Raw genomic sequence first — 21,941 nt, 5'->3', positions numbered from 1 at the left:
AGTTACAGTAATATAAGCAGAAATGTAGCGTCAGAAAGAATTGGGGAGCTAGGGGTGGTTGTGCCTTTATGTTTAGGTGTTTATGTTTAAAGGGAGCACTCACTGGTCTCTAAAACACTTTTTTTCCTCCAGGAAATAAAGTTCTGAGGTTCTGTCACCATTAGCAGGATATGCCGTTTGCCCAATTCCAATATACTTTTCCTTTTAAAAAAAACCCTGAGTATTTAATTGAAATAACCAAAATGAAGACCCAAAATGAGTTTCTTCAATTTTGGTTTCCAACAGAGAAAGACTGTGATTTGGTTCAAGCCACTTGTGAGCTGTCCGCCTGCCACGGGTGCTGCATTTATAGCACCCTTGATTAGATGTGACATTTTCTCACTCTGAGTATTTTGCCCGTATTTGAAGAGATCCACACAGGGGACCTTATTAAAATCTGCAGAAGCCTGTGAATACGTGAGGATGCACTTATGTGAGGGGGAGGGAGAGAATGGATTTTTATCTTCTGGGAATCTGGTGGTTTTATTTTATAGGAGCTTACAAAGGAATGAGCAAGAGGAAAGAAGATTCTGGTCTCACTTAAAATGGACTGCGGTACCTCCTCTGCTTGAAATTCAAAGAAGCCAAGGTAAGCAGAGTTGAAATTGTTTTCATGGCTCACTAAAGTGAGATCTGCTTCTGTTAAACTCTAGATTCTTCTGCTAATTACAGTGAAGAGATGTGGATGGCACAGAGCAACAGATCACAATGACACCATGTTTGCTAGGATGCACACATTCAAATCTGTTCCTGCTCACAAAAGATGTGACTTCCACTCCTCCCAGTCCTATTTGTTCCTGATTTGGTTTTCCATTAAGCAAGTTGGGCCCCAGGAAGATAGAATGGAGATAAGGTTCCAATACAAAGCTATTAAAGAATTTGAAGTAGGGCTAGGCGCAGTGGCTCACGCCTGTAATCCCAGCACTTTGGTAGGCTGAGGTGGGCGGATCACCTGATGCCAAGTGTTTCAGACCAGCCTGGCCAACATGGTGAAACCCCGTCTCTACTAAAAATACAAAAAAATAGCCAGGCACAAAGGTGCTTGCCTGTAGTCTCAGCTACTTGGGAGGCTGAGATGGGAGAATCACTTGAAATCCAGAGGTGGAGGTTTCAGTGAGCCAAGACCATGCCATTGCACTCTAGCCTGGGTGACAAGGGTGAAACAAGAAGGAAGGAAGGAAGGAAGGAAGGAAGGAAAGAAAGAAAGAAAGGAGAAGAGAAGAGAAGAGAAAAGAAGAGGAAAAAAGAAAAGAAAAAAGAGAAAAGAAAAGAAAAAGAAAGAATGTGCAGTAGGAAAATTTGTCTTCAATCTCACTTTTGTGTCCCCTTTTCTATCTTGGGCTGGTCCTCTCCTCCCATGCTTGTTCTAGGCCTTCTATATCTAATGTTATAGATTTATCATTTTAAGTGAAGCAGCTCATTCACAGCACTTTTGAAAACCACGTGACTCTTCTTCTACCCTGACTCAAACACACACAAACCTCATATGATTGGATCAGGTGCAGGAACATGAATGAAGACAGCAGTTATGACAGGAGAGAAAAGATGAGCCGGATTCATCAGAAATACCTCAGGAACTTACTTATAATAAATGGTAAAGTATTTTGTTCCTTTTTTAGCCATTATAAATAGGATTGCTTTCCTGGCTTCCTTTTTAAGTAGTAGATGTATAGACATAAAGACAGAATAGAGAGCCCCAAAATAAATCTACATACCCCACGTTGAACTGATCTTCAACAAGCATGCCAAGAACACAAAATGAGGAAAGGGTAGCAGTTTTGATTAATGGTATTGGGAAAACTGAATGTCCACAACAGAAAAATGAAAATGGACCCTTATCTCACACCACATATAGAAATCAACTCAAAATGGATTAAAGACTTAAATGTAAGACCTGAAACTGTAAAACTCTAGAAAAATAGGGGAAAAGCTTCTTGGCATTGGATATCACACCAAAAGCACAGGCAACAAAAGCAAAAAAGACAAGAGGGCTTATATCTGACTAAAAGGTTTCTGAACAGCAAAGGAAACAATCAACAGGGTAAAAAGACAACCTACAGAATGGAGAATATATTTTTCAAACCATGTATCTGATTAGAAATTAATATCCAAAATATAAGAAATGTAGCTCAATAGAAAGCAGTAGAAATAGCTCAATAGAAAAACAAACAAAAACCAAAATCCCAAATAACTCAATTTAAAAATGGGTAAAGGACCTGAATAAACATTTCTCAAAAGAAGACACCTACTGGTCAGTAGATGTACAAAAAGAGACTTCAATAATCATTAGAGAAATGCAAACTACACAATGAGATATCACTTCACCTGTTAGAATGGCCATTATCAGATGGACGAAAGATAATAAGTTTTGGGGAGGATGTGAAGAACAGAGAACCCTAGTATGCTATTGGTGGGAATGTAAATTACTATAGTCATTATGGAAAACAGTATATAAGTTCCACAAAAAAAAAAAAAAAAAAAAAATAGAACTGCCTTATAATCTAGCAATCCCACTTGTGGGTATATATGCAAAGGAAATCAAATCAATATTCCAAAGAAATATGTGCATTCCCATGTTCATTTCAGCATTACTCACAATAGACAAGCTATGGAATCAACCTAAGTGTTCATAACAGATATATATAGAGATATATATTCATATATAGATAGATATACACACACGCATACACACATATATTTACAGAAATACATATATAACATATATATATATATAATGGACTATATATATTTACATAATGGACTATGTGTGTGTGTGTGTGAATGTGTGTGTGTAATGGAATATTATCCAGCCTTAAAAAAAAGAAATCCTGCCATTTAGGACAACATGGTGAATGTGGAGAACAGTATGCTAAGTGAAATAAACCAGTCACAGAAAGTCAAATACTGCATGATCATACTTACATAATCTAAAAATCTCAAACTCAGTGGTGTTTACCAGGGGCAGAGAGGAAGGGACATGGGAAGATGATGGTTGTATTAGCCCATTTTCACACTGCTAATAAAGACATACCCGAGACTGGGAAGAAAAACAGATTTAATTAGACTTACAGTTCCACGTGGCTGAGGAGGCCTCTGAATCAAGGCAGGAGGTGAAAGGCACTTCTAACATGGCAGTGGCAAGAGAAAAATGCGAAGGATGCAAAAATGAACACCCTTGATAAAACCATCAGATCTCTTGAGACTTATTCACTACCACAAGAACAGTATAGGGGAAACCGCCTCCATGATTCAAATTATCTCCCACCAGGTCCCTCCCACAACACATGAAAATTATGGAAGTAAAATTCAAGATGAGATTTGGGTGGGGACACAAAGCTGAACCACATTATTCTGCCCCAACCCCTCCAAGTCTCATGACCTCATATTTCAAAGCCAATCATGCCTTTTCAACAGTCCCCCAAAGTTTTAACTCATTTCAGCATTAACCCAAATGTCCACAATCCAAAGTCTCATCTGAGATAAGGCAAGTCCCTTCCACCTATGAGCCTGAAAAATCAAAAGCAAGCTAGTTACTTCCTAGATACAATGGGGGTATAGGTATTGGGTAAATACAGCCATTCCAAAGGGGAGAAATTGGCAAAAACAAAGAGGCTACAGGATGCATGCAAGTCCAAAACCCAGTGAGGCAGTCAAATTTTAAAGCTCCAAAATAGGCTGGGCATGGTGGTTCATGCCTGTAATCCCAGCACTTTGGAAGTCTGAGGCAGGCAGATCACAAGGTCAGGAGTTCGACACCAGCCTGGCCAACATGGTGAAACCCCATCTCTACTAAAGATACAAAAAAATAGCTGGGCATGGTGGTGTACTTCTGTAATCCTGGCTACTCAGGATGCTGAGGCAGGAGAATTGCTTGAGGTGGAGGTTGTAGTGAGCTGAGATTGCATCATTGCACTCCAGACTGGGTGACAGGGTGAGACTCTGTCTCAAAAACAAAGCTCCAAAATGATCTCCTTTGACTCCAGGTCTCACATCCGGGTCACGCCGATGCAAGAAGTGGGTTTCCATGGTCTTGGGCAGCTCTGCCTCTGTGGCTTTTTCGAGTATAGCCTCCCTCCTGGCTGCTTTCACAGGTTGGTGTTGAGTGTCTCTGGCTTTTCCAGGCTCAAGGTGCAAGCTGTTGGTGGATCTATCATACTGGGGTCTGGAGGACAGTGACTCTCTTTTCACGGTACCATTAGGCAGTGCCCCAGTAGCAGTACTGTGTGGGGGCTTCAACCCCACGTTTCCTTTCTGCACTGCCCTAGCAGAGGTTCTCCATGAGGGCCCCACCCCTGCAGCAAACTTTTGCCTGGACATCCAGGCATTTCCATACATTTTCAGAAATCTAGGCAGAGGTTCTCAAACCTCAATTCTTGACTTCTGTGCACCTGCAGGCTCAACACTACGTGGAAGCTGCCAAGGCTTGGGGCTTGAAGCACCCTTTGAAGCAACAGCCTGAGCTGTACCTTGGCCCCTTTTAGTCACAGCTAGGATGCAGGGCATCAAGTCCCTAGACTGCACACAGCATGAGGACCCTGGGCTCAGCCCACAAAACCATTTTCTCCTAGGCTTCCAGGCCTTTGATGGGAGGGGTGCCATGAAGACCTCTGACATGCCCTGGATACACTTTCCCCATTGTCTTGGGGTTAACATTCAGCTCCTCATTACTTATGTAAATTTCTGCAGCTGTCTTGAATTTCTCCTCAGAAAATGTGGTTTTCTTTTTTATCACATTGTCAGGCTGCAAATTTTCTAAACTTTTATGCTCTGCTTCCCTTATAAAACTGAATGCCTTTAACAGCATCCAAGTCACCTCTTGAATGTGTTGCTGTTTAGAAATTTTTTCTGCCAGATACCCTAAATCATCTCTCTCAAGTTCAAAGTTCCACAAATCTCTAGGGCAGGGGCAAAATGCCACCAGTCACTCTGGTAAAACATAACAAGAGTCATCTTTGCTCCAGTCCCCAACAAGTTTCTCATCTCCATCTGAGACCACCTCAGCCTGTACCTTATTGTCCATATCACTATCAGTATTTTGGGCAAAGCCATTCAATAAGTCTCTAGAAAGTTCCAAACTTTCCCATATTTTCCTGGCTTCTTCTGAGCCTTCCAAACTGTTCCAACCTCTGTTTGTTACCCAGTTCAAAAGTTGCTTCCACATTTTGGGTTATCTTTTCAGTACTCTACTGGTACCAATTTATTGTATTAGTCTGTTTTCATGGTGCTGATAAAGACATACCCAAGACTGGGAAGAAAAAGAGGTTTAATTGGACTTACAGTTCCACATAGCTAGGGAGGCCTCAGAATCATGGCAGGAGGTGAAAGGCACTTCTTACATGGCAGCAGCAAGAGAAAATGAGAAAGATGCAAAAGTGGAAACCCCTGATAAACCCATCAGATCTCGAGACTTATTCACTACCATGAGAACAGTAAAGGGGGAAACCACCCCCATGATTCAAATTATCTCCCACCGGGTCCCTCCCACAACATGTGGGAATTATGGAAATATAATTCAAGATGAGATTTGGGTGGGGACACAGAGCCAAACCGTTATCAGTGGTCAAGAGGTACAAAGTTTCAGTTATGCAAGATAATAAAGCTCTGGAGATTCTGGAGATGTGATGTACAACAACGTGACACTATAGTTAACAATATTGTACTGTATATTTGAAATTTGCTAAGAAGGTAGATATTAAGTGGTCTCAACACACACACACACCAATATAACTATGTGAGGTGATGGATATGTTAATTAGCTTGATTGTGGTGAATATTTCACAATGTATACACATACCAATTCATCCAGTTGTATAATTTAAATATATACAATTTTTAACTGGCAGTTATACATCAGTGAAGTTGAAAAAAAGTGGTGAAGCAACAGGTATAAACAATGGCAGCTGAAGCCAAGACTATGCGTCTGAGTTGGTCTGAAGAAGAGGAAGTGGAGGCAATGCCATGAGTCATAAGAAGCAGGTCATTGATTTCCTTAGCAAATATTTATTGAGCACTTGCTAAGGTGCCACACACAGCTTCAGGTCTGGAGAAAAGACAGTAAAAAAAGTAGGCAGAGTCCCATCTCACGGAGCTGACATTCCTGGAGAGTGATTAAGGCAATGAAGAGGTAAACAAATACAGAAAATAATATTAGATTAATGACGAGGGCTATAAAGAAAACAAAGCAGGGAAAAATGATAGTGTGACCTCCAGGGGTGGGGCAGTGGTAGAGGGGCACTATGGATTGGTGTGGTCAGGGAAGGACTCTCTGAAGAGAGGAGATTTCAGCTGAGTCCTGAGTGACACAAAGAAATAAGCACAGGGAGGCTCAGTAGAAAGAACATTCCACACAGAAGGCCCAGCAAACACAAAGGCCCTGAAGAGGGGTGAGCATCGTGCACACTCAAAAGAAAGAAAGAGGGGCAGTGTGACTGGAACACAGAGAGCAAGAAGAGTGCTACAGAATGAAATAACAATGGTAGTAAGGGGAAAATCACCCAGGCTTCGTAGGTCAAAGCGAAGAAAACTCAGGGTCTTATCCTGAGTGAAATGGGAAGCTGTTGTAAGCAGGAAAGTGACATGAGGGGACTTATGTTTGAAGTAGATCATTTGATGAAGAACAGAGTGTAAGGAAGGCAAGAATGGAAGCAGGAGAACAGGGAGGCCACTGACACTTTAATGTCCAGGTGAGTGAGGAAGAGGTTGCACAAGGGCAGGGTAGTGGGGATAGAGAGAAGCAGAGGTTGGTGTATAGGGGGCACCTTTTAGCAGTTTGCTATGGGCAGGGCTCTCTAAGGAGGAAAGGGCTTTAGCAAATATTCAAATACCTGTTGCTTTTCACATTTTTTCCCCAAAGTTATTGAGGTATAGTTGACAGTTAAAAATTGTACATATTTAAGTTATACAACTGATGAATTGATATGTGTATCTGTTGTGAAATCTTCACCACAATCAAGCTAATTAACACATCTCCCACTTCACATAGTTACCTTTTGTGTATGTGTGTTGAGAATACTTAAGATCTACCTTCTTAGCAAACTTCAAGTATATAGTACAATATTGTTAACTACTGTCACATTGTTGTGTATTAGGTCTCCAGAACTTCATTATCTTGCACAACTGAATAGACCACAGGGAAAAAAATAAATAAATAAACCAATAAAAAGACTCAATTTCAATTTCTGTTGAGAAAGCAGTAGAGAAATGCTCACTCTCATGCATTACACAATGGTACAAACCCTGCAGAGGATAGGGCTTCCTGATGGATTAGATGTAGGAAGAGGATAGATACAAAAATAAAAAATGATGTCTAAACTTTTAGCTTGAGCAACTGGATGGTTTATGATGTTATTGACTGAGATGGAGAAGACCACACAAAGAACAGGTAAGAGAATAAATGGGTAAACAGGGGATCAATTCCAATCCAGTTAGTTTAAGTTCGATTTTAGATGTGTTATATTTGAGATCCCTATTACACAGTCAAGTGACCATACCAACAGGAAATTGTATATGCAGGTTTAGAGCACAAGGCTAGAGAAGTATATTTTGAACTCAGCAGATTAGCTACGGTATCAAAATCATGGCCTAAATGTCCTTCTACATGCTTGCTACCTCCAAAACCCTCTACAGTGTACCTGAGATAGACCATAGTGGTTCTCAAACTGTGAGGCTCATAAGAATCACTGGGAGAGACTTAAAAAAATCTATATTCTTAGGTCTTAGCACCAGAGATTCTGATTATGCATGCAAGCATTGAGGTGGACCCAAGTATTGATCTGAGATACATATTAAAAATGAAGATTTTCTGGGGTATTTTTAAAAATGAAGATTCATTCTGATGCCAGTAGTCCGAAGGCTACACTATGTGAAAAAGCCATAGAATTCTTCAGAGACCAATTAAATAACCTGGGGATATGTTTTCAATTTCTATAAATGATCAGCACTTAGATGGACCTGGAACATTGGCTAAGTATTTTATGTTCACGAACTCACTTAATTCTTTCTTTTCCTAAATTTTTATTTTTTAAAAGGTAATAAATTCACATGGTTAAAAGTCAAAATAATATAAAAAGAGAGATATTAAACAGTATTGTTCCCACTATTCTCATCCATTTTATTTCCAGCTCTGTGTCCTGTAAGGAATACTATTTCTATTATCTTCTTTTGGATATTAAAAATATTTCTTTCTGAAAATATAGCAAATACAAATATATTCTCTCCCACCAACTTCTCATCTTTCTTACTTAAAAGGAAGCCCATTATGTATAGTGTCTGCTCCTGTTTTCAGCATAAATGCCAGAGATCTTTCCACGTCAGCATACAGAAAGCACCATCATTCTTTGCATTATAGCAGCATAATATTTTGTGGTGTGCATACATCATGGCTTATTTCATTAGTACCCTGTTAATGAGCAGTTGAATTGTCTATCTTTTGCTATTAATGAAGGCTCATATTAATATGCATTCATTATTTCATGTATATACGTGTAATCTGTAGGATAAATTCCCAGAAGTGGAATTGCTGGGTCAAAGGGTAAATGCATTTGTAATTTCGAAAAAGATTGCCAAATTGCCCTCTGCAGGGGTTGTACCATTTTGCACTCCTACCAGCAATGTATCAGAGTGCCCATTTCTCTGCAACCTTGCCAACAGAGTGTGTTAAACTTTTGGGTTTTTGCCAATCTGATAGGTGAGAAATGTTATTTCAGTGTAATTTCACTTTGCTTTGTCTCTGATGAGTGAAATAGAGCCTTTATATATATATATATATATAAGGGGTCTTTGTATTTTTTTCTATAAACTCTCTATTGATGAACTTTTTGGCCTGTTTCTTCTCAATTTCTTGGAGCTCTTTATATATGAAAGAGATGAGCTCTTTGTGCTATGACACAGCTATTTTTGGTTTTTCTTTCGTATTTGATTTGCATATCTTTAAAATATATTTAAATGGTTCCATTTTTCTTTATGTCCTCTGAATTTTGAGTAATATTTTAAATGTATCAGTCTTTTTTGTGTGGCCCCTGGATTTTAAGTAATTGTTAAAAGGCCTTCCCCTGCTCCAAAGCTATAAAAGAATTCACTCATTCCCTTTATTGTTTCAACAATCCTCTAAGTAGGTCTTATTCACCTTCTTTTATGAATGAGGAAACTGAAATTCAGGGCTTACAGTAGGTCTCTCAAAGAGTAAGAGTAAGAACATGATTCAAAGAGTAAGAACATGATTCAAAGAGTAAGAAAATGAGTTTCTTTTCTCAGTGTCACTTTAGAAACATTTTGCAGGAAAACTTCTGCAAAATATTATCTAGGTTGCTAAAGAATATGATCCTGTTATTTCTGAGGCTTTAAATAAACAGAACAGCTCAGGTTTTGTCAACATTAATGTTTGCATTGAAACAAATACAAAAAGTCTCCCAAATCTTATAAACATCAATGCTTGAAGCCAACATGTTGAAACTGCCAGGACCCATGCACACCACCTACGGACGTCAGCAAATGTCCCTTTTAATTGAACGCTCAAAAGGATACCTGCGGGCAAGCAGAGAAGCCCTGCAGTGGCCACGCTGGACTGCATTAAGGGACACCTGGAATCCATGGCAGCCCTTTGTCCCTGTCTCTCCCTTTCTTTCTGCCAGAGCCAGCAGGGAAGGAGAGTGCTGACGTGTCTATTGAGGACTAGGAAAAATACTCGGTTTGAGAGCCAGTCCTGTGAAGGAGGATGACCCAGTTGAAGGTTTAAACCTGCAATCTCCTCTCCCTACCAAACTCCAAAACCCTGAGAGTCCAGTGTCCACATAAAAAGGTTATCGAGAGATTCATCTTGTGCAAACGGCAGGAGAAATGATTTATCAAGGTCACCTTTCAGACCCAGAGTTTGTGACAGGTGTTCCTCAAGGATCAACTCTGATCAGTTGGTAAGCACTGCCTAGAGCATGTGATTGAGGTGAACTCAGAGGCCACGTCTAGGCACAGTGCTACAGAGTGCTGGGATTCACAAGTGATGTCAGCTGAGAACATAGTAAGAGAAAAAATTTGCATCCCTGCCAAGCCTCTGCCAATATTGACTGAAAACATTATAATTCATTTATAGAATCAAGACCTGATAGAAATGACTGCGATATGCTTGCCCATCAAAAATGCCAAAGTTTTAGAATGCTTGGTTCTGAAGGAGCTGGTTCATTTTCCAGAGGGTGATATTTATTATCTAAAAGGCTGCCTTGTGTTTGATTTTCCTTACCCTGAATTTACACACTCCATTACCTTCTCTAAAATCCAGTGCTTCAGGACATAACACAGTGTATTCCAACAGTAGATGTTCAATGAACACTGAACTGAATCGTATCACATACAGCAGGTTAAGTTTAAAAAGATACTTTGCACATATTCACATATTCATTCAGCATGACTTGATTGAATAATTAGATACAGTCTCTAAGGTATAGATTTTTCCCAAATGCATGCATTAAAAGTTTTAACTTTTGATGAAGGGCAATGTATTAATTTTTTTCATTTATAGCTCATGCTTTTTGTATTAAGTCTGAAAACTCTTTGCCTATACTAACTGTTGAAAGGTTCTTCTGTTTTCTTTTCTAAAACATTTATATTAACACTAAGAGAGATGTTCCTTTTTATTGCTGGACATGGGTCAGAGTTCTAGCTCTTATATTGTCTTCACTAACACCACACTGGCAGTGACCTTGCTATTTCTGGGCAATGGTGAAAGTCCCAACTCAACATGAAGCTTCCTCTGGCACCACTCTGATGAGGAGAGGGAGAGGTACCTTATTACTACAAGGTAGAGTGGAAGTATAGACTCCTGATATGAACTCCACTGACACTGTAACAAGGAGGGGGCCTTGTCACTGACTGGTAGGGATGGAAATCCCGGCTCCCTACTTGGCCTTCTCTGACTGCCCCTGCAAAGATGCTGGGGTACCTCATTTCAGCCTTGATGATAGAAGTCTAAGCTCCCCACTTGGTATTTGCTGCCATGGGGTGGGTGGGGCTAGCTATATGTAGTCTTTTCTGTAGTGTTTGACTGGAGTTAGAGAAAGTATTGTCTGAATGTTTTCTGTCTTGCTAGGCTGTCTCTTTCATGGTCCTTTGGCTTTTTCCCCATCTGTGTCTATCAACATTTCTGGCTTCCCAGATTTTTTTCACACCAAGTCTGGGATATATGAGGCAAAAATAAATCCAGGGAATTCACCACCATGTTGTTCCTTGAATCTCAAGTTCCCTAGACAGTCTGCCGTCTTCTTTAACATTTTTCAAGTCCTTCATATTTATTTTACATGTAATTTCCAGCGTTTCTCGTTGTACTTGGAGGAAGGAATAGGGAAAAGTATATCTATTCCATTTTCCCAGAAGCAGAAGTCTTTCATTTGCTTTTTATGTCTTTTCTCTCTTTTGATCTTTTAGATCAAGAGTTTATCCCAGGACCTATCACTGGACTCTGCATATGAGAGATGCTCAAAAAATACATTTTTATTTTATTTCATTTTAGAACATAAGAACAAGTACATTATTATAGACCAAGCTCATCATATTATTTCTCAACCTCATCATTACTTACATTTGGGGCCAGATGATTCTTTGGGATGGAAGGTGAAGGGGGATTTTTGTGTGTGTTGCAGGATGTCTAGCAGTGTCTCTGGGCTTTACCCATTAAATGCCAGTAGCATCCACAAGTTGTGACTGTTAAAAATGTCTTGAGACATTGCCCAGTGTCCCTTCGGGGCAAAATCACCTGTGGTTGAGGACCACTGATATAGACTCACACATCCAATTTTTCTCAAAGATAGTGGGATTTTTTTAATGTACTGACCAAAAAAGCTAGCTTGACAGATATACTGCCTCCTATTTGATTGTCGGTGGAGGGGGCAGAGGGTCGGGGGGAAACACAAGGAAGATTTTCTCTTTGAAAATTGTCACACTGACTAGAACATTGCTTCACTTAGTGCTTTTCCTGCTTGTGGGACATCTGAGGGCCTGATGGGGTCAATGAATGGCTTCAGCATGGCAGTGCAGTGGGTGGGGAAATTTGTTAGCCACATGTGCTTCCACATATTTCACAAAGAACCAGAAAGATGGGAGAAAAGAAATTATATTTCACAGTTTATATTTCAGTGTTGAATTTAGAAATGGGAGGCAGCAAACTAACATTTCCAGCAAAAGCCCTCATCCTTTTGTTAAATACAGAATTGAAAGACCTTTATCTACCTGTTGGGCAATGACAACTTGTTTGGAATTTGAGTTTATGATAAAAGACAAAAGAGCACTTCTGTACTTTCCCTATAAAATCTCCAGAACCCTCAGAGTTGTTGAACTACAAAAGATGATTAACTGGGAGACAATGAAAGGACCCAGGTCTGCTCCTAACAGCTGTACAACCTTGACCAGTCACCTAACCTCCTGGTGCCTGATGCTTCACCTGTGAAATAGGGATAATAATAGTAGCACTTTATACATGAATTAACAGATGTAAAAACCTGAGAATGCTGCCCTCTGCAGAGTAAGAGATAGAGAAGGGCTTCCTATAATTATTGCTATTGTTTTTGTTGAGAGATTTTTGGCTGATATTAAGAGAGGAAGTAAATGCTATGTCTATGAAATCTCACAGGTTTCAGGTAGCACTGGGAGGTTTCAGATAAATATCTCTTATCAAATTAACAGAACCCTGTGGTGACTCTTTTGAGCCTGATATCCCAGTAAAGAGCTCCATTCAGGTAAATGGTACTAGAACCACCCCTTAGACCCACAGGGCATACATAAGCTTATGACTTCAGGGTCTAGGGAGGGACAGCCATGGATTGAATTTGCCAGAATGTGTTTCACATAAATCTGTTATTTTCTCTTATTGAACTTTGTTCGCTTTCCTCGGAACACTTATGCAATCAGCAATGAGATAGGAAGCCATTAATGTATTTATTTGTTTAATATCTCTTTCATTACAAGATTGTGAGTGTAATAAGGTAAGAATTATGTCTCTTTCCCTCACAATTATATTGTAGCATCTAACACAGTGACCAACACGTAGTTGATTCTCAAAATATATTTCTCGAGTAGATGAGAGAATGTTAGAGAATTGTCATCCAAACAGGGTTCACTGATAGCAAACAGGGTACACAGATAACAAAAATATATGTATATATGTGTGTGTGTATATATATGTGTATATATATTGTGTATATATATGTGTATATATATTGTGTATATATATGTGTGTATATATATATATATATATATATATATATATACTTTTAAGAATTCAGTTTCTTAAGCATTTTTTTAAGTTTTGCAGAGGCCAAATTATGTAAAGAGCTTATTAGGAAATAGGAGGCCTGGCTCATTTTCAAAACTTATTTTAGATACTTTATATCCATATTATATTCTTTATCCTTCCCCCTTTTAAAAACTTTACTTATTAATTCATTCACTGAATTTATTAAACACTACGTACCAGATATTGGTCTAGTGCTGGAGATATAGCAGAGAATCAAAGTTGTTACTCTCATGACATTTGCAAAGGAGCGAGTGAGGCCGACAAAAATAAGCACATATATTTAAACAAGTGGATGGCCTAAAGACATAAGAGAATCCCCTGCTGTGGTCTTTAAAGTCATTCATATTGATGCTTCCATCTCAGCCCAGAATTTTCGGTAGAGTCAGCCAAGCGTACAGACCCCTTCTCTTTGCTTCCTTTCCTCCATTCATTTAAGGTGCGCTTAATGAACCTACTCTATGCCAGGCACCCTTCTAGACTCTGAAGACAACGGCAAACGTGGCAAAGTCCCTGAGCTCACAAGCTCACATTCTAGTGCAGACACACACGACAAGCAAATAAATGAGCATCCATCAGAATGTCAGCTAAGGGTCAATGCCACAAAGATAAATACAGCAGGCTGAGAGGAAAAGAGAGGAGCAGGGCAAAGATGCCGTTTTGCATAGGGAAAGTCATGGACGGCCTCTCAAGTAAGATGACATTCGCGCTGAGACTTGAACAAAGTGAAGGCATGTCGATGTCAGGAGACAGTGATCGATCCAGGCAGAGGAGTACCTGTAGCCAGGACGTACCTGGTATGCTCCAACTACAGCAAGGAAGCCAGTGAGGCCTGGTGTAGAGCGAGGAGGTGGACAGCGGTAAAAGCAGACATCAGAGAGGTGAGTGGGGCCACATTATTCCCATCTTTGCAGGCCGCAGTTAGGATTTGGGATTTTTTTTTTTTTTTTTTTTTTTTTTGAGACGGAGCCTCGCTCTGTTGTCCCGGCTGGAGTGCCGCCTCCCGGGTTCAAGCGATTCTCCTGCCTCAGCCTCCCAAGTAGCTGGGACTACAGGCCTGCACCACCACACCTGGCTAATTGTTTATTTGTTTGTTTGTTTGCTTGTTTTAGTAGAGACAAGCTTTCACCATGTTGGCCAGGCTGGTCTTGAATTCCTCACCTCAAGTGATCCACCCGCCTCGGTCTCCCAGAGTGCTGGGATTACAGGCGTAAGCCATTGCGCCCGGCCAGGATTGGGATTTTATTTTGAGTAAGATAAGAGGGACTGAAAAACTCCGGCAGAGGAGTGACATGATATATGCTTTAAACGGACAGTTCTAGCTCCCCTCTCCAAGCATCAAAGCACAACTCCAGTCTCCAGTTCCCACCCTCCATGCCAGTCTTCCAACCAGAAGCCCACCCTGTAAACTGTATCCTGGGGCTAGAGCCTCAGCCTGGAGACCAATCAAATCCCCAGACAATGCTGGTAACTATACGGTATGGAGCATCACCGCTGTATAAGAGGGAATTGGATTCAGCTTGAATGACAGGAAATAAATGGGTCTGGCAGTCAGGAAACATGCATAATTAACACAGTCAGGAAATCTCATAACTATGTTCCCCTGAGCCATATATTCTACCACCTGAGGCTCAGTTTCCTCGTCTGTGAAATGTGGGAGGTTGAACTCGAAGACCTCTGAGGTACTTTCCGACTCTCAATCACTGTGGTCTCCTGACAGTTGATGTGTGCATAAAGGCAGCTGTCTTTGGACAGTAGGGTTGTGGGGAGAATTTGGGGGCCAACTTAATTATAACAAATAGTTCACACAGATCAGGAGCTTACTATGTGTCAGGCTTTGTGCTAAACTTGTTATGTGTGATATCTCCTTTCCACTTACAAATGGAAAAAAGTCGGGGGGGGGGGCCTTGAAGAGATTCTAGTGAAGGCTAACCCTAGTGTCCCCTCAATGAGTTCCTTCATAGTTCTGCTGTTCACTAGATACATCTGTATGTGAATAAGTGTCTACCTTGTGAAAAAGAACATTTGACAAATTTATTGCCATTGTGGTTAACTCTGAAACTATAGCTGGATTTAAATTAAAGAGACATCTTTGATTTCTGTCAAGATTATTCACAATAAATGTTTTTGTTATTCTGTTTTTTGTAAAACAAAAATCTGATTAAAATTAGTTGTATATGTTGCTAAATATCTATGTAACATAGCACACTAATTTTATTGGTACAGGTTGGAACTATAAAAGGATGAACAAATTACAGCATTCAAAATATATTTTAAAATAAGAGTGGAACAAAGCTGCAGCTTTTGGGTGCTGATCAAATAGAAGTAAGTTAATTATAATGTGTTGAGTCTTCAGATTAATATAAAATATTTTCTAGCTAGTAGGTGAAGAATGTTTTCTTCTTTTTCTCCCTCCCTTCCTGTCTTCTCCCCCCACCCCAATCCCCTTTTCTTCCTTTGTTCCCTTTTTCTCTTTCTTGCTCTCTCTCTCTTATGAGTTGTTCTTCTTTTTGGAAATTTCTACTAGTGAAATATTAATGAAAAATGCTCTACAGCTAAAATAACTTGTTAATTGCCCAAAGACCAAAGATGAGTGTCTATTTCCAAGACTGTTAAAATTTGCAGACTTAAAATTAAGGAAGAAAAGGTCATAACCCATTCCTTAAGAACTGCATTTTTTCATAACACTTTCTTTTATTGAAGATAGATATGAAAAGATGGGAGCATATTTCCAAAGTGACTGTGTAGTTATATGAGGTCAGTTGAATGCTATTTGGACAAATTTAAGTTCACTTTATTGTGCAATATGAAACAAGTACAGTGATCATCAATTCTGAACTGGAGATAATGAGGCAATAAGTATGAATATCTTTTAGAACATAGAGACAAAATATTTGAAATCAGGACTATTCCACAAAGTCCAAGATGTATGCTCTCTAGGGAGATAAGCTATAGCTTTTGTTGTTGTTTTTAGGTTTTGTTTTTCTAGTATTGCTGTAATTGCATCTTTAAAATGCAGTGGGTTTTAAACTATTCTGGAAAAAGTCACTATTGCTGTTTAGATATCACTGGAAATTATGAGTGAAAGAAAACGACTTAGATTCATAGGAGAGAGAAATCTTGAGGAGGGAACCTAGATCTTCAAATAAAGGAATAGAACATCTGATTCTCAAACGTAGCAAATTTGCCTGGTTTGCTTGTGAAGCATCAACTTTATCAAAGTTAGGAGTTCTCTGCTGAACATAGTTTGGAATGTCTTTCAAACTAAAATGTAGACATAAGTATTTGAAATAAAATACAGGAAATTATAGCTATAGTGTTAAGTAAACCAAACATTCAGTGCTATGAATAAACTATTGTTTGAGAGAGGCAACATGATATAACTAATAGAAATGATCATGATAGAACTGATCATGTCATGCCCATGCTCAGAATGCCCCACAAGCTATCTATCATACTTGGAACATAAAGTCCTAACATGGCCTCTAAAGTGCTTTATAATCTGACCCCTGGCTCCATCTGTAATTTCATTTTTTACCATGGTTTGCCTCACCAACCTACCTTCACTTTCAACCAAGCACTCTGTGGTCTTTGGTTGAGTTCTTATCATTGCCACTTGACTATTAGCTTCTTGAATGAAGAGATTCTCTCTTTTTTTTTTTTTTTTAATCTCTGTATTCCTGTGTCAGGCCTATGGCAGGTACTCAAAAAATATTTTTGAATGAATGAATGAATAATTAAACAATAAAACACAAAATTACATATTTGTTGACTTAAAAGTCAATTTCTTCATTAAGAATCATGCAACCTTGGGAAGGTTGTTCAACCTACCAGTGTCTCCATTTCCTCATCTCAAAAATAAAAAGCTTCCACTTTGGGAGGCCGAGGCAGGAGGATCACGAGGTCAGGAGATTGAGACCATCCTGGCCAACATGGTGAAACCCCGTCTCTACCAAAATACGAAAAAAAATTATATATTTTTTTTTTTGGCCCGCACCTGTAGTGGTGGTGGTGGCCCGCACCTGTAGTCCCAGCTACTCAGAGGTCTGAGGCAGGGGAATTACTTGAACCCAGGAGGCAGATGTTGCAGTGAGCTGACATCATGCCACTGCACTCCAGCCTGGCTATAGAGCCGGACTCCACCTCAAAAAAATAAAAATAAAAATAAATAAATAAATAAATAAATAAATAAATAAAAGTTTTAACGAGGATGGTAAACTCTTTCTTTTCAATAATTAATAATAAAATATGTGTTTACAAAACATTGTTTTAAAAATAATGAAACATCATTTTCTGGCTCTGTTTGTGCCTAACATCCATTAATAATACTGCTTAAAAGCCCTGGTGCATGAGGACCTGGATGGATGGATCGTCTGTGTTTTCATTTTGAAATTTGTCTTGAATTAGTGATAAGCATGTATATATCCACCAGTCCATGTCTTTGTATTGTTGAAGTGTATTTCATTTTCTGTCACTGGATATAAAAAAGATGGACACCCAACATTGTAATTTTTGCCATCTACATTTTGTGGTTCTCATGTAGTGACAGGAACTGGTTGGAGTAATGTGGGCTTCAAAGCAAGACTGAAATGCAGTGAAATGCTGAAAGCTAGATTTTTTAAATAGCCCCCATTAAAGTTGTTGGGAAAATCCACACCCCTTAGTGTTTTATGATTTTCAGTTTGACTGGTACTCCTTGCTTCTTACAATGAGCTCAAGAGGTGTTGTTTTAAAGAAAATCAAAACTAAGATTGGCATATATAACCAGTGATCGAAAAGCATGCTACAATTTGATGAATAGATAAAATATAATTAAGAATTTTGTTATCTTTAAGCCTCGAACTCTATGGAGTATATTCTTAAGTAGGATCCAAAAGTTGGAACATTTTGAGCTAACCAAATTTTCCCTTTGTTTAAATGTCTTATACACCCATTGCATTTATCTTTTTTTCTTCAGCTATATTTCATAGTAACCAACCCTCCTTCTATGATTTGGCCCCTATTTAAAATGAGCACGTACAAATAAAAAATTAAGCTAATAAATAAGGTGGTAAACTAGTGCTTAGAAGGAATCAATATAAACAATGACCTCTAACTCTTCTGTTAGAATGTATAGTGTTACAATAAAATCATATACACCATTCAGATGTTTATAACATGAAATTTATGCATTAGCTTTGGTGGTGAGCATCTTTAACACATATCACTCTAAAACAAACAGATCAGGGGTTGGTTAATATCTTTCTTCTCTATTCTTCAGGCTAAGGCATTCATAGACAAGTGTTATTTGTTTTTTCAAACAAACGAGATTAAAAGAGAAAACCAAATAATGGAGAGAACCCAGCACAGAGCCAGGTATGTCATTAGCTCTCAATAAATATGTTTTCATTCTTCTTTATGTCATGCACTCTGTCACACCAGCCAATCTAATGGCTCATGTCTAGCCAACTATCTAAATGTTGTGTTACTTATCACCATTGCCAGAAGGAGCATAGTAGGCCCTAAGCTCTGTGAGTAGGGACTGTGCGTGCAATACTGGAAAAATGACAGTTTGAAGTCAAACTGTGGGAAGTTTGTTTTCATTTGATGCTTTAAATAAAAATAATATGTTTATATTGCTATATCTTGATATTTTCATATTACAGGGTTTTGTTTGTATGTTTGTTTTGTTTTTTTTTTTGTTTAGACAGAATCTCGCTCTGTCACCCAGACTGGAGTGCAGTGATGCGATCTCGGTTCACGGCAACCTCCACCTCCTGGTTCTTCTCACGCCTCAGCCCCCCAAGTAGCTGAGATTACAGGCATGTGTCACCACGCCTGTAATTTTTGCAAGTTTTTACTGGAGACAGGGTTTCACCATATTGGCCAGGCTGGTTTTGAACTCCCGACTTCAGGTGATCTGCCTGCCTCAGCCTCCCAAAGTATTGGGATTACAGGTGTGAGCCACCGCACCTGGCCAGTTTTAAACATTCTCTATTGACTTTCCCTAACAAAGAAAAAGGTCTAGCTTTCTCTCACACTACCTCCATCTCTACCCACTCATGAAGGCTTCTCATCTTTTTATACTGTTGTATTATACTGTTGGTTATATCATTCTCAGTGTTCCTATGTCTGTAAATTCCTTTCACAACCGAGATATGGAGTACCCTATGCTAACTTTTATTTCCTTATAAATTTTTTACTTTTCCTATGATTAATAATAGCCTTCTTTGTTGTTAGTTGATTGAAAAAAAAAACTAATCCAATCTTCACTCACTCCACTCATCATCTAAATCTTCTCTCAAGATATTTAGATGTATCAAGTACTTAACGATTTCTCCTTTTTATAAAAATATAGAAATGGAAGAACATTCTGACCTGCTTGTAGGTGGAGTTACTGTACTCTACTCTTGCATAGCTAACAGCCTGCAGGCTCTTTTCACCTCTCTTCTGAGCTGAATCCTCAGTTTCTTGTATCTCACACCTTTCTCTTTCTTGGCTTACTCTCTCACTTTGGTGGAGCATATATTCCAGTTGGTTTCTAAGAAACTTTTTTTAAGGTAAATTTTTGAGAGCTTACATCTGAAAATGACTGCATTTTACCTTTATATTTGATTGACAGTTTGACTGACTATTGAGTTCTGAGCTAGAAATCATTTTTCTTATTCTGTTGAAGGCATAGCTCCCATGACTTGTAATTATCAGTGTTGCTTTTGACAATTCTAAATCAACTCTGATCTCTGATTTTTGTATATACTAATTTTCCCTCCTCTCGAAGTCTGTAGGATCCTCTTTGGGGCCTTTTCTTTATCCCAGAATTGAGAAATATTGTGATGATATGCCTTGAGATGGGTGTATTTTCCTTTGTTTTGTTTTGTTTTGTTTGTTTGTTTTTTGCTGGATACCAAATGGACTTTTAAAACCTAGTAACACATTTATTTCCTTCCTTTTTTCCTTATTCTTACAATAAATATGTATTGAGTTTCTACTATAAGGCCAGGTATTAGCCTAGGTACTGAAAATGCATAGGAAAATAAAATCACAACTCTCTTGGAGCTGACATGCTATTAGCACTTTCAGTTCTGAGATATTATAGTGAATTATCCTATTTATAACTTCGTGCCTTAGGCTGTTTGGACTGCTATAACAAAATACCTTTAATTAGGTGGCTTATAAGCAACAGAACTTTATTTCTCACAGTTCTGGAGGTTGGAAAGTCCAAGATCAAGGAGCCAGCAGCTTCGATGTCTGATGAGAGCCAACTTTCTGGTTTATAGATGACACCATTTTGCTGAGTCCTCATGTGGTGAAAGGTGCTAGGAGTCGCTCTTGGACATCTTTTAGAAGGGCTAATTTCCTTCATGAGGGCTCTGCTCTCATGACCTAATCACCTCCAAAAGGCCCCACCTCCTAATACCATCACCTTGGGAATTCAAATTTCAACATATGAATTTTAGAGGACACAGACATTCAGACCGTAGCACTTCCTCCCCTCCGTTGTCTCTGTTAAGATGAGATGGTCTCTAAGATCATGTCAGATTTTAGAACAGGAAGGGATCACAAGAATACGTCAATGACAAGCCTCCAGGGGCCGAAGACATACTAAAGATCATGAATATCAAGTCACCAATAAGGCCAGTTGATATGTAAAGCTTTTAAGTGACTTTTCCATTGTCACCCTGCAGGTTAGTCTTAATGTCCTCTATTAACTTTTTCTATTTTATCCTTCATAGGCTGGAAATTATTAAATTTGAAAGAATAATTGATATTTTTGCCTTGTGTTTTGTTCTTTTGAAAAGAATTTAATGAAGTCTGTTCCTATCTTAAGCTCATTTCCCCAGGAGAGTCAAATCTTATAATAAAACCTACTTTCGTTTTTAAACAAAAAAAACCAAAAACCCCAAAAATAAATCCCTATATCTCTGATTGCTAGGCTTTTTATTCCAGAAGATTGCCTCTAAAGAATATCAAGACTTTTTTAATGAGTTATTTCTTATTAATCGAAAAATAATTAAGACTTTGTTGCAAAAATTATTACTCTTAGTCTATTGGTGTCCTAGCATAGAGCTGTTTCTGTTGTAATTCACCCAGCCCAAGAGACTTCATAGCACTTATTCATGAAATGAGAATCCCATTTGTTAACTGCATGTTCATCGTTAGATTAAACTTAATGGCTTATCTTACGTACCTTTTGTATTTTTCAGAATTCCCAGCGCATGCTGTACATCTAATAAGTAATGCTTAAACTTTTATATAAGTGAATTACTTTCTTCTTACAGCTTTCTTAGATATGTATTCATTGAAAAGTTGTGGGCTTACTTCCTATACTCAAATATATATATAGTCATATACTTGAGTTAAGGAACCCAACTCATATACAAAATTTCTCATAGGGAAGAAAGGAGTAAATGAATTTATATCAATTGTTTTCTAATGTAGCCTTTAAAAACCCAATTTTAATTTTCTCATGTATGAATTGTGAGGTCCTAGCCTCATTATTTTTTATTGGAATCTTAGTGACTTTTAGTGATTTATATGAATTGCACATACTGGTGATTTTTACTTTTTGTCTAAAATATTTGTCACTTTTTTTATTTTCTGTATTTTTGTATTTTGTTATTTGCTTCTTAATTAATTTGACCCAGGCAAG

General features: G+C 38.6%; 1 long non-coding RNA gene across 1 annotated transcript; it reads left to right on the top strand.

The window, feature by feature from the left end:
• The first annotated feature begins 532 nt into the window (after window positions 1-532).
• Window positions 533-21,941, top strand: LINC01967 (long intergenic non-protein coding RNA 1967). Its single transcript, XR_001740553.2, has 3 exons — window positions 533-628; window positions 15,539-15,637; window positions 18,573-21,941. It is a non-coding gene; the product is annotated as a long intergenic non-protein coding RNA 1967 (long non-coding RNA).

This window comes from Homo sapiens, chromosome 3 (assembly GCF_000001405.40).
Source record: "Homo sapiens chromosome 3, GRCh38.p14 Primary Assembly".
NCBI lineage: Eukaryota > Metazoa > Chordata > Mammalia > Primates > Hominidae > Homo > Homo sapiens.
This window is presented reverse-complemented; position numbering and strand designations above follow the sequence as displayed.